Raw genomic sequence first — 14022 nt, forward strand, 5'->3', positions numbered from 1 at the left:
CAGCCAAGTGTGATGAGGGTCTGGAAGTGGCCTTGGAGATGGAGAGGATGGGATAGATCCAGGGAATAACAAGGCTTATCAGCCAGGAGCCAAGTACAGGGAAGGGTATTTCCTGGCTGGAGGACTTTGAAGGCTGGGGCAGGGATTCCTCTGCATTCTTGGTCATAGCTTCTGAGACCTGGCTGGCAGGATCTAATTTAGCCTCCTCCGATCCCTTGTAGAGTCTAGCTGGAACACTAACTGCCAAACTGGATTTGATATTAGAAGAGGTATCACTAAAAGAGGTCTATAAACCCACACCCAGTGTGTGGCGAGGATCCCGCGACAGGATGAAGTGCAGATTTCTTGTGGAGTCTGCATTCTGGCTGCTTCTCTCCATCTGCTCTTGCCCTCACCTGGATCTCAGCCAACATCTTTTCTTGCCTAGACTACTGCAGTAGCTTCCTAACTGGGTGGCTCTTTTCTTTTAATTTCTCTTTCTTTTTTTATTTTATTTTATCTTACAGAGACAAGGTCTTACTATGTTGCCCAGGCTGGTATTGAACTCCTGGGCTCAAATGATCCTCCTTCTTTGGCCGAAGTAATCCTCCCTTCTTGGCCTCCCAAAGTGCTAGGATTACAGGTGTGAGCCATTGTGCCTGCCCTTTTCCTTTCCTTTCTTTTTTTTTTTTTTTTTTGAGACAGGGTCTTACTCTGGCACCCAGGCTGGAGTACAGTGGTGCAATCATGGCTCACTGCAGCCTTGAGCTCCTAGACTCAAGCGATTCTCCCACTTCAACCTCTTGAGTAGTTGGGACTACAAGTGCATGCCACCACCATGCCTGGCTAATATTTTAATTATTATTTTTTTTTTTAGAAACAAGGTGTCACTGTGTTGCCTAGGCTGTTCTCAAACTCTCAGCCTCAAACGATCCTCCCACCTTGGTCTCCTGAGTAGCTGGGATTACAGGTGTGAGCCACCATGCCTGGCTGGTTGATTCTTTTCTACCCCTTACTTACTACTCTGGACCCCTACATTCGGGCCTAACAAGGCAGCCATTGTGACCCTTTAAAAATACAAATTAGATAATGTCACTCTGCTACTTAAAACCCCTGCAAGGTCTTCTATTATTGTTTAAATCCACCCTCATTTCCATGGCCTAGCAGCCTGTGTGTCTGCCCCCTGACCACCCCTCCAAGCTCCCCTCCTGCCCCACTGACTTGCTCCCTTGTCCCATCCACTGGCCTTCTACTGTTGCACAAATATACCAAACTATTTCCCACACAGAGCTACCTATTCACTCAGCAAGTGCTTATGAAACACCTACTATGTGCCACACACCGTACTTGGTGCTGAAGAGACAGGAATGAAAGGCATGCAAATCCCTGCCACTGGGAAACTTACATGCTAATGAAGAAAGACAGACCGTAAACATGACAAGTAAACAAATATAGTATGTCAGGCCAGATGTGGTGGCTTACGCCTGTAATCCCAGCACTTTGGGAGGCCAAGGCTTGAGAATCACTTGAGTCCAGGAGTTCAAGACCAGCCTGGGCAACATAGTGAGACCCCATCTTTACAAAAAAAAAATGAACAAAATTAGCCAGGCCTGTGGGGTGCACACCTGTAGTCCAAGCTACACAGGAGGCTGAGATGGGAGAATCACTTGAGCCCAGGAGATCAAAGCTGTAGTGAGCCATGATTGTGCCACTGCACTCCAGCCTGGGCAACAAGAATGAAACTCTATCGCAAAAAAAAGAAAAAAAAGTAGCAAAATTTCTTTGCTGTAATATAAGCTCCACTGAGGTTAGGAGCCCTGTGTTTTTGACCCATTATAAACCCAGACTTAGAAGACAGTTCAGCCAATTGTCCAGCAATTGTCCAGTACATGCTCAATAAATCACTGGCTGAATGAAAGAAGCAGGGACATTCTATAATTATGATTCCTTAAACCTTACGGAGTATGGAGAACTGTGTTTTGATGTGGGAGGAATAGCCCCAGGAAACTTGTGGCCATTGGGCTAGAGGTAGGAGAGGTAGAGAAGAACCTAACAAGATTTCAGAGAGAGAGAGGAGGAAACCTAAAAGAATGCCACATCTAAAGACTTGGGGTATGGCTAGGTGCGCTGACTTATGCCTATAATCCTGGCACTTTGGGCCGTGGTAGGTGGATCGCTTGAGCCTAGGACTTCAAACATCAGACCGGGCAACATGGGGAAACCCCATCTCTACAAAAACAAAAACAAAAATTAGCCAAGCATGGTAGCTCACACCTGTGGTCACAACTACTGGGGAGGCTGAGATGGGAGGATCACTTGAGCCTGGGAGGTGGAGGATGCAGTTGAGCTGTGATTGCACCACTGCACTCCAGCCTGGGTAACACAGTGAGATCCTGTCTCAAAAAAAAAAAAAAAAAAAAAAAAAGACTTGGGGTGTATTAATTATACATCAATAAAATTGTTTTTTAAAAAATATGTGAATTAGAATGGCCTTGAACTTCTAAATAATAACATTAGAAACTAGAAGGCAAAAAACAACAACAAATGGTATCTTCAAAATACTCAAAAGTCAGCTCTAGTTGACTTAATTAGAAAGGGAATTTATTAAGAGTGAAAAATATCATTAACATAGAATTTTATTCCCAGCCAAGCTATCAATTGGATGTGAGGCAGAAGGAACATAATTTCTTTTTTTCTTTCTTTCTTTTTATTTTTTGAGACAGTCTCACTCTATCGCCTAGGCTGGAGTGCAGTGGTGCGATCTCGGCTCACAGCAACCTCCGCCTCCTGGGTTCAAGCGATTCTCTTGCCTCAGCCTCCCGAATTGCTGGTATTACAGGCACGCACCACCACTCTCAGCTAATTTTATATATAATATGTGTGTGTATATATATATATATATATTTTTTTTTTTTTTTGAGACGGAGTCTTGCTCTTGTTGCCCAGGCTGGAGTGCAGTGGCGTGATCTCTGCTCACTGCAACCTCTGCCTCCTGGGTTCAAGATATTCTCCTGCCTCAGCCTCCCGAGTAGCTGAGATTACAGGTGTGTACCATCACGCTCGGCTAATTTTGTATTTTTAGTAGAGATGGGGTTTCTCCATGTTGGTCAGGCTGGTCTCGAACTTCCGAACTCAGGTGATCCGCCCCTCCCCACCCCGGCCTTGGCCTCCCAAAGTGCTGGAATTACAGGCGTGAGCCACCGCACCCAGCGGGACAAGGTCTTGCTCTGTCACCCAGACAGGAGTGCAGTGGTGAGATCTCAGCTCACTGCAACCTCCGCCTCCTGGGCTCAAGCCATTCTCCCACCTCGACCTCCCAAGTAGCTGGGGCTATAGGTGCACACCACCATATCTGGCTAGTTTTTGTATTTTTTGTAGAGACAGTGTTTTGCCATGTTACCCAGGCTGGTCTCGAACTTCTGACTTCAGGTGATCCGCCCACCTTGGCCTCCCAAAGCTCTGGGATTACAGGCATGAGCCACTGCGCCCGGCCAGTAGCTCATTTATTTTTATCACTGAATTAATATTCCATTGTGTGGATGTGCCAGTTTGTTCATCTCTTTACCTGTCAAAGGACATCTTGGTTGCTTCCGAGTTTTGGCGATTATGAATAAAGCTGCTATTCATGTGCAGGTTTTTGTGTGGACATGTTTTCACCATATTTGAGTAAATACCTAGCAGTGTGATTGCTGTATCATATGGTAAGACTATGTTTAGCTTTGTAAGAAACTGCCAAGTTGTCCTCCAAATTGTCTGTACCATTTGTATACCCAACAGCAATGAATGAAAATTTTTGAGGTCAGGTGCAATGGCTCATGCCTGTCATCCCAGCACTTTGGGAGGCCAAGGCGGGTGGATCATGAGGTCAGGAGTTCGAGACCAGCCTGACCAACATGGTGAAACCCCATCTCTACTAAAAATACAAAAATTAGTCAGGCATGGTGGTGCACGCCTGTAATCCCAGCTACTCAGGAGGCTGAGGCAGGAGAATCGCTTGAACCCAGGAAGCAGAGGTTGCAGTGAGCCCAGATGGTGCCACTGCATTCCAGCCTGGGCGACAGAGCGAGACTCCATCTCAAAAAAAAAGTTTTTGTTGCTCTGCGTCCTCACTTGCATTATCAGTGCTTCGGATTTTAGCTGTTTTCACAGATATGTAGTGATATCTCATTGTTGTTTTGATTTGCAATTCCCTGATGACATACAATGATGAACATCTTTTCATTTGCTTATTTGCTATTGTCTTTCTTCTTCTCCCTTTTTTTAAAAATTTTTTTTATTTGAGACAAGGTTTCACTCCCATCACCTAGGCTGGAGTGCAGTTGTGGGATCTCAGCGCACTGCAACCTCCACCTCCCGGACTCAAGCAATTCTCCAGCCTCAGCCTCCTGAGTAGCTGGGACTGTAGGCGCACGTCACTATGCCTGGCTAATTTTTGTATTTCTATTGAAGTTTTAGTAAAGATAGGTTTTCGCTGTGTTGCCCAAGCTGGTCTCGAACTCCTGAGCTCAAGCGACCCTCCTGCCTCGGCCTCCCAAAGTGGTGGGATTACAGATGTGAGCCACCTTGCCTGGCCTCTTCTTTTTTCTTTTCTTTTCTTTTTTTTTTTTTTTTGAGACAGAGTCTTGCTCTGTTGCCCAGGCCAGAGTACAGTGGCATGATCACAGCCCACTGCAGCGTCAACTTCCTGGGCTCAGCAAGTGATCCTCCCACCTCAGCCTCCTGAGTAGCTGGGACTACTGGCATGCACCATCACGCCTGACTAATTTTTTGTATTTTGTAGAGATGAGGTTTCACCATGTTGCCCAGGCTGGTCTGAAACTCCTGGGCTCAAGTGATCTACATGCCTCGGCCTCCCAAAGTGCTGAGAGCCACCATACCCAGCCATCCATCTGTATATCTTCTTTGGTGAGGTGTCTCTTCAGATTTTTTGCCCACTTTTTGCTTTGGTTGTTTATTTTCTTATTCAGTTTCAAGAGTTCTTTGTATACGGCCAGGTGCAGTGGTTCACGCCTGTAATCCCAGCACTTTGGGAGACTGAGGCAGGAGGATCATTTGAGGCCAGGAGTTCAAGGCCAGCCTGGGCCACATAGCGAAACCCTATCTCTAGACTCCATCTCTACCAAAAAAAAAAAAAAAAAATCAAAAAATAAGCTGGGCATATGGGATTATGTGCCTGTGGTCCCAGCTACTCTGGAGACTGAGGCGGGAGGATAGCTTCAGCCCAGGAGGTCCAGGATATAGTGAGCCAAGACCATGCCACTGCACTCCAGCCTAGGCAATAGAGTAAGACCCTGTCTCTGAAAAATAAAGAAAAAAAGTTCTGGCCAGGTGCAGTGGCTCACGCCTGTAATCCCAACACTTTGGGAGGACAAGGTGGGTGGATCACCTGAGGTCAGGAGTTCGAGACCATCCTGGCCAACATGGTGAAACCCCATCTCTACTAAAAATACAAGAATTAGCTGGGTGTGGTGAGCCACACCTGTAGTCCTAGGTACTCAGGAGGCTGAGGCAGGAGAATTGATTGAACCTGGGAGATGGGGGTTGAGATGAGCCGAGATTGCACCATTGCATTCCAGCCTGGGCAGCAAGAGCAAAACTCTGTCTCAAACAACAACAAAAACAAAAAATTCTTCTTTCTCCATTGAATTTTCTTTGTTCCTCTTTCAAAGATCAGTTGATTATATTTATGTAGGTCTATTTCTAGGCTTTCTCTTGTATTTCTTTTCTTTTTTTTTTTGAGACAGAGTTTCACTCTTGTTGCCCAGGCTGGAGTGCAATGGCACAATCCCAGCTCACTGCAACCTCCGCCTCCCAGGTTCAAGCAAGTCTCCTGCCTCAGCCTCTCGAGTAGCTGGGATTACAGGCATGCACCACCACACCTGGCTAATTTTGTATTTTTAGTAGAGACGGGGTTTCTCCATGTTGAGGCTGGTCTGGAACTCCTGACCTCAGGTGATCCACCCACCTTGGCCTCCCAAAGTGCTGGGATTACAGGCATGAGCCACTGCACCTGGCTAGGTTTCTCTTGTATTTCATTGATCTAATTGTCTATTCTTTGTTTCTTTTTTTTAAAGTATCTATTCTTTTACCAGTGTCACATGTCTTGATTATTGCAGTGTATAGTAAAGATGAGTAATGTTAGTCTTCTGTCTTTGTTCTTTTTTACTAATATTGTCTTGGCTATTTTGAATCTTTTGCCTCTCCACAAAAACTTTAGAATTAGTTTGTCAGTATCCACAAAATAACTTGCTGGAATTTTGATTGGGATTGTATTGAATCCATAGATCAAGTTGGGATGACTGGCATCTTGATAATATTGAGTCTTCCTATCAATGAACATGGAATGTCTATTTATTTATTTATTTATTTTGAGACAGAGTCTTGCTCTGTCGCCCAGGCTGGAGTGCAGTGGTATGATCTCAGCTCACTGCAACCTCTGCCTCCCAGGTTCAAGTGATTCTCCTGCCTCAGCCTCCTGAGTAGCTGGGATTACAGGCACCCACCACCATGCCCAGCTAGTTTTTGCAGTTTTAGTAGAGACAGGGTTTCGCCATGTTGGCCAGGCTGGTCTCAAACTCCTGACCTCAGGTGATCTGCCGGCCTTGGCCTTCCAAAGTGCTGGGATTACAGGCATGAGCCGCTGTGCCTAGCCAATTTATTTAGACCTTCTTTGATTTCTTTCTTCAGAGTTTTATAGTTTTCCTCCTGTAGATCTTGTACATATTTTTTTAGATTATACCTAAATGTGTTTTTTGGTGGTAATATAAATGTTAAATTATAAAATTAAAATTATTCAAATTATTATTATTTAATTTTTATTTTTTTGAGACAGGGTCTCACTCTGTCACAAGGCTGGAATGAAGTGACATGATCATAGCTCACTGCAGCCTCGACTTCCCCCAGCTCAGGTGATCCTCCTGCCTCGGCCCCCCAAGTAGCTGGTAGTACAGACATGTGCCACCATGCTTGGCTAAATTTTTTTTTTTTTTTTGTAGAGACGGGATTTCCCCATGTTGCCCAGGTTGGTCTTGAACTCCTGGATTCAAGTGATCCACCTGCCTCAGCCTCCCAAAGTGCTGGGTCTATAGGCATGAGCCTTTTATTTTTTATTTTCTAATATATATATATATATATATATATATATATAGAGAGAGAGAGAGAGAGAGAGAGAGAGAGAGAGAGAGAGAGAGTGAGTCAGTCTTTCTTTGTCACTTAGGCTGGAGTGCAATAGCTTGATCATAGCTCACTGCAGCCTCAACTCCTGGGCTCAAGCAATCCTCCCACCTCAGTCTCCCAAGTAGCTGCGACTATAGGCACACATCACAATGCCTGGTTAATTTTTTAATTATTTTGTAGAGATGGGGTTGTCACAATTATTTTGTAGAGATGTCACTATTGTTGGGAACATGCCCCAAATCTGGCCATAAACTGGCCCCAAAACTGGCCATTAACAAAATCTCTGCGGCACTGTGACATATTCGTGATGGCCACGACACCACGCTGAAGGTTGTGGGTTTACTGGAATGAGGGCAAGGAACACCTGGCCCACCCAGGGTAGAAAACCGCTTAAAGGCATTCCTAAACCACAAACAATAGCATGAGCGATCTGTGCCTTAAGGACATGTTCCTGCTGCAGATAACTAGCCAGAGCCCATCCCTTTGTTTCAGCCCATCCCTTTGTTTCCTGTAAGGAATACTTTTAGTTAATCTATAATCTATAGAAACAATGCTTATCACTGGCTTGCTGTCAATAAATATGTGGGTAAAACTCTGTTTGGGGCTCTCAGCTCTGAAGGCTGTCAGCCCCCTGATTTCCCACTGCACACTCCATATTTCTGTGTGTGGGTCTTTAAGTCCTCAAGCACCACTGGGTTAGGGTCTCCACGACTGAGCTGGCCTCGGCAAGTAGCGCCCATATGTGGGGATTGAACCTGGGTCGAAGGGTTGCTGGAGCGATGGTTGGAGAACGTGGAACTAAGCTGTGGGATCTGGTTCATTCCACCTTGGAACCTTTTCACACTAACGATGAGGAGGAAGGAAAGTATGACGAAGTAACAGAAGAGGTGACAGAGCAGGTTTGTTTGCCAGCTAAAGCTAAAGCGGCAAAGAAGGAAGAGGTTAATGCCTACTCTTCTGCACCCCCTCCTTATTTTGAAGAGAGTGGCCTGACCCTCCAGATCTTTCTTTTTTGGAGGACACTAGGTGAAAAGTAGTTGCCCCAGTGACTGTTTGAGGAGTGCCTTAAGCGATCACTCTCAGATCTATTCAGGCAGGAATCCAGCAAGCTAGATGAGAGGGTGACTTAGAGGCTTGGCAGTTCCCTGTTAGGATACACCCCCCAGATCAACAGGGAAATATTATAGCTACATTTGAGCCTTTTCCTTTTAAATTACTCGAATTTAAACAAGCTATCAATCAGTGTGAGCCTAGAATATGTCCAAAATGCAAAAAAAGGAAAACATTAGGCTAATCAGCATCACTCTAAGTTTGATAAAGATGGGAACCTGATTTCAAGAAACGCCATCAGGGGCCTGACCTGGGACCTGTTCCAAACCAGGGCATTTCTGGCTCAGGCCACTCCTTCACTCCTGTACAAAGTCTGTCCCACACCACAGCCAGTAGTGCCACAGATTTATGCTACACAAAAGCTGTGAGTCTTCTGCCTGGGGAACCCCCACAAAAGGTCCCAACAGGAGTCTGTGGACCCTTGCCAGCAGGGACAACAGGATTACTTCTAGGTAGATCTAGTTTAAATTTAAAAGGAGTACAAGTACATATAGGAGTCATTGATTCAGATTACAATGGGAAAATTCAAATTGTTATATCTACTTCTGTTCCCTGGAAAGCAGAGCCAGGAGAGCATATAGCACAGCTCCTGATGGTACTGTATGTGGAAATGGGGAAAAGTGAAATTAAATGAACAGGAGGATTTGGAAGCACAAATAAACAAGGCAAAGCAGCTTACTGGGTGAATCAAATTACTGATAAACGTCCTACCTGTGAAATAACTATTCAGGGACAGAAATTTAAAGGTTTGGTAGATACAGGAGCAGACATTTCAATCATTTCTCTACAGCACTGGCCATCCGCGTGGCCAATTCAACCCACTCAATTTAACATAGTTGGAGTTGGTAAAGCCCCTGAAGTATATCAAAGTAGTTATATTTTGCATTGTGAAGGGCCTGATGGACAACCTGGGACTATTCCACCAATTATAACTTCTGTATCTGTAAATTTATGATGGAGAGATTTATTACAACAATGGGGAGCACAAGTTCTAATTCCAGAGCAATTATATAGCCCTCAAAGTCAACATATGATGCATGAAATGGGGTATGTCCCTGGTAGGGCACTAGGAAAAAATTTGCAAGTTTCAAAGGAACCGCTTCAAGTGGGAAGACAAAGTTCCCGCCAAGGTTTAGGATATCATTTTTCATGGTGGCCATTGTTAAGCCTCCAGAACCTATACCTTTAAAATGGTTAACAGATAAGCCAATTTGGATAGAACAATGGCCACTAAGTAAAGAGAAACTGGAGGCTTTAGAGGACTTAGTTACTGAACAATTAGAAAAAGGACACATAGCTCCAACATTTTCCCCTGGAATTCTCGAGTTTTTGTAATGAAGAAAAAATCAGGTAAATGGAGAATGTTAACTGACTTAAGGGCCATGAATTCAGTTATACAACCTATGGAGACATTACAGCCAGGATTGCCTTCTCCTGCTATGATTCCAAAAAATTGGCCTTTAATAGTCATAGATTTAAAAGACTGTTACTTTACTGTCCCCTTAGCTGAACAAGACTGTGAACAGTTTGCATTTACAATTCCTGCAATAAACAACCTGCAGCCTGCTAAGTGTTTTCATTGGAAAGTGTTGCCACAAGGCATGTTAAATAGTCCACCAATTTGCCAGACTTATGTAGGGCAAGCAATTGAACCTACTTGTAAAAAATTTTCACAGTGTTACATTATTCATTATATGGATGATATTCTTTGTGCTGCCTCAACTCGGGAAATATTACTCCAATGTTATGATCGCTTGGAAAATTCAATTTCTCATGCTGGTTTAATTATAGCTCCTGACAAAATTCAGACTAACACTCCTTACTCCTACTTAGGGACCTTAGTAAATGACACTATCATTGTACCACAGAAAGTAACCATATGTAGGGATCAATTGTAAACATTAAATGACTTTCAAAAATTACTAGGGGACATTAATTGGATACGACCTGCTCTAGGCATTCCTACCTATGCCATGAGTAATCTATTTTTTATCCTTAGAGGAGCTCCTAGTCTCACTAGCCCTCGACAGTTAACAAAGGGGGCTGAGGCAGAGTTACAGCTAATAGAGAAGCAAGTCCATAAGGCTCAAATAAATAGAATAAATCCAGAGAAGACTCTAGATTTGCTAATTTTTTCAACTCAGCATTCACCTACTGGTGTTACTGTTCAAGAGCAAGATCTTGTAGAATGACTTTTTCTTCCACATACTAATTCACAGACTCTAACTCCTTATTTGGATCAAATCACTACTATGATAGGAAATGGGAGAACTCGGATAGTTAAACTGCATGAATATGATCCTGGAAAAATCATTGTCCCTCTCACGAAGGCACAAATACAGCAAGTTTTTATAAATAGTCTTACTTGGCAAACCCATTTAGCTGACTTTGTGGGTATTCTCGATAACCATTTTCCTAAAATGAAACTGTTTCAATTTTTGAAATTACCTAATTGGATTCTCCCTAAAATAACTAAATTTAAACCAATTGAAGGTGCTGAAAATGTCTTCACAGATGGGTCTAGTAACGGTAAAGCTTCTTACTCTGGCTCAAAAGGTAAAGTTTTTCAGACGCCCTATACTTCAGCTCAAAAAGCAGAACTTGTAGCTGTAATTAAGGTATTGACTGCTTTTGATATGCCTATTAATGTAATTTCTGATTCTTTATATGTGGTTCATCCTACACAGTTAGTTGAAAATGCTCAGCTGTGATTCTATACAGATGAACAACTTATGACTTTATTTACTCAATTACAGACAGCAGTTAGGGGTAGAATACACCCATTTTTCATCACTCACATTAGGGCTCATACACCTCTTCCAGGACCTTTGACTGCAGGGAATCAATGATCGCCTAGTTGCTACTGCAATGTCTAATGCCAGACCCTTTCACAATTTAACCCATGTTGATGCCTCTGGTCTCAAATGCAGATACAACATTACCTGGAAAGAAGCTAAAGCTGTTATCCAGCGATGCCCAACTTGCCAAATGGTACATTCCTCATCTTTTACAGGAGGAGTAAATCCTCAAGGATTAGAACCTAATTCTCTTTGACAAATGGACGTCACACATGTTCCCGCATTTGGGGGACTAGCTTATGTACATGTATGTGTGGTCACCTTTTCTCACTTTGTCTGGGCTACATGCCAATCAGGAGAGTCTTCTGCCTGTGTTAAACGTCACCTTTTGCAGTGTTTTGCCGTGATGGGCATTCCAGCTTCTATGAAAACAGATAATGCCCCAGGCTATACTAGCCAAGCTCTAGCTACATTTTTCTCTATATGGAATATTAAACACATTACTGGTATCTCATATAATTCTCAAGGACAAGCCATAGTGGAAAGAATGAATCTCTCCCTAAAACAAAAATTGCAAAAGCAGAGGTCGGGGGGGAGGGCAGGGAACAGGGACTACAGGACACCCCATATGCAATTGAATCTAGCATTATTGACTTTAAATTTTTTGAGCCTGCCTAAAGGCCAGATGCTATCAGCAGCTGAACAGCATCTACAGAAACCAGCTGCAAAGACATAAGCAGAACAACTGGTTTGGTGGAGAGATCCGATAACAAAAAGTTGAGAAATAGGTAAAATAATAACTTGGGGTAGAGGTTATGCTTGTGTTTCTCAGGCCAAAACCAGCAGCCAATTTGGGTACCAGCAAGATACCTGAAACCTTGTCATGAGCCAGATGCTGAGGAAGAGATTCCAGGAGGATCCCAAGGACCCCCTAGTTGCAGCCATGTCGAGACTGACGCTGAGGAGGACCCCAACTGTCATGAGCAACATCCGTGGAACACAGCCACCCACCTGGAGACAGATCAAGAAGCTGTTGCAGATGGCAGAAGAAAACCTGAGAAAAGTGGGACAACCAGTAGCAATGAGTAATTTAATGATAGCTGTGATAGCGGTGATCACCATTGCCATGAGTATCCCTTTAGCAAGCGCACACACAAAGAACAATTATACTTATTGGGCATATTTATCAATCTTGGCTGGCAATAATGCCTGGATGCAATCACTCTATGACACAGTTACACATGCTTCCCGATCTCAGTATTTACCATAATGAATCTGCTCCTATAGTTGAGGCATACTGCCCTCAAGAACCTATTTGTAAACAGAATTGGACCTGGCCAGACATAGTGAACGTACTTGTTTGGGAAGATTACATTGCAGAACAGGCAGAGGTGCTGCACAATGATTCCTATGGAATCATTATTGATTGGTCCCCCTAAGGGGATGTTTAGCTTGAATTGCACCTCTCAGTCTGCATGCCATGGCCACACTGTGTTCAGCTGGTCTGAACAAAACGGTCAGATAGTAGAAATGGTAAAAAAAAAAAAAATACTGCAAGAGTTCCTATTGTCTGGAAACATGGAGGTATAGTGGCACCTCAACCTCAAATGATATGGCCCACTTTAGGAGCTAAACATAAGGATTTGTGGAAACTATTAATGGCTCTTAATAAGACCAAAATTTGGGAAAGAATGAAAAAGCATCCAGAAGGACACTGTACAAACTTGTCTTTGGATATTGCAAAATTAAAAGAACAAATATGTAAAGCATCCCAGGCACACCTGACCTTAATGCCAGGAACTGGAGTGCTTGAAGGAGCTGCAGACAGATTAGCAGCTAGTAACCCATCAAAATGGATACAAACACTTGGAAGGTCTGTGATTTCAATGATGATTGTGCTTTTAATCTGTGTTGTTTATCTTTATATAGTTTGCAGATGGGGATCCCGATTCCTGTGAGAAGTAGCTCACTGTGATAAAGCCACCTTTGCTTTTACTGTCTTACAAAAACAAAAAGGGGGAACATGTTGGGAACAGGCCCCCAAATCTGGACATAAACTGGCCCCAAAACTGGCCATTAACAAAATCTCTGCAGCACTGTGACATATTCATGATGGCCATGACACAATGCTGAAGGTTGTGGGTTTACCAGAATGAGGGCAAGGAACACCTGGCCCACCCAGGGTGGAAAACCACTTAAAGGCGTTCCTAAACCACAAACAATAGCATAAGCGATCTGTGCCGTGAGGACATGTTCCTGCTACAGATCACTAGCCAGAGCCCATCCCTTTGTTTCAGCCCATCCCTTTGTTTCCTGTGAGGAATACTTTTAGTTCATCTATAATCTGTAGAAACAATGCTTATCACTGGCTTGCTGTCCATAAATACGTGGATAAAACTCTGTTTGGGGCTCTCGGCTCTGAAGGCTGTCAGCCTCCTGATTTCCCACTGCACACTCTATACTTCTGTGTGTGGGTCTTTAAGTCCTCTAGTGCCTATGGGTTAGGGTCTCCATGACTGAGCTGGCCTTGGTCCACTATGTTGCCCAGGTAGGTCTTGAACTCCTGGGCTCAAGTGATCCTCCCACCTCAGCCTCCCAAAGTGCTGGGATTACAAGCATGAGCCACTGAACCTGGCTGGGTTTTCTTAAGGTAATCAAATGTATAGCATTTCTTGAGATTCAAAAAGTTGCCATTTTCTGAGCCCAGACAAAATACAACTATTCACCTAGCATTTATCATGTGAAAAAAAAAAAAAGAATTAGAAACAGCCATGTTGTCGGAGCAATTAGTTTGTTTTCAATCTTAATGACACTGTGACTCACACATCAAAAGTGTTTTCCTGTTTGCTTTGCAAACCAGGAAGCTCAGAACAAGATTTGAGTACATCTCTAATATTTACATGGTGCTTAAGGCAAGAGATGTTTCAACAACTGTTTTAATTTGTCTCTTAATTCATCT

At 43.5% G+C, this 14022-nt stretch overlaps 1 annotated feature.

Moving 5' to 3' along the window:
* Window positions 12660–12860: a silencer, noted in NCBI's record as "peak99 fragment used in MPRA reporter construct". NCBI's record gives its function as "represses an SCP1 promoter by STARR-seq MPRAs in K562 erythroleukemia cells {active_cell/tissue: K562}" and the evidence as "EXISTENCE:reporter gene assay evidence [ECO:0000049][PMID:32103011]".

This window comes from Homo sapiens, chromosome 1 (assembly GCF_000001405.40).
Source record: "Homo sapiens chromosome 1, GRCh38.p14 Primary Assembly".
NCBI classification, from domain to species: domain Eukaryota; kingdom Metazoa; phylum Chordata; class Mammalia; order Primates; family Hominidae; genus Homo; species Homo sapiens.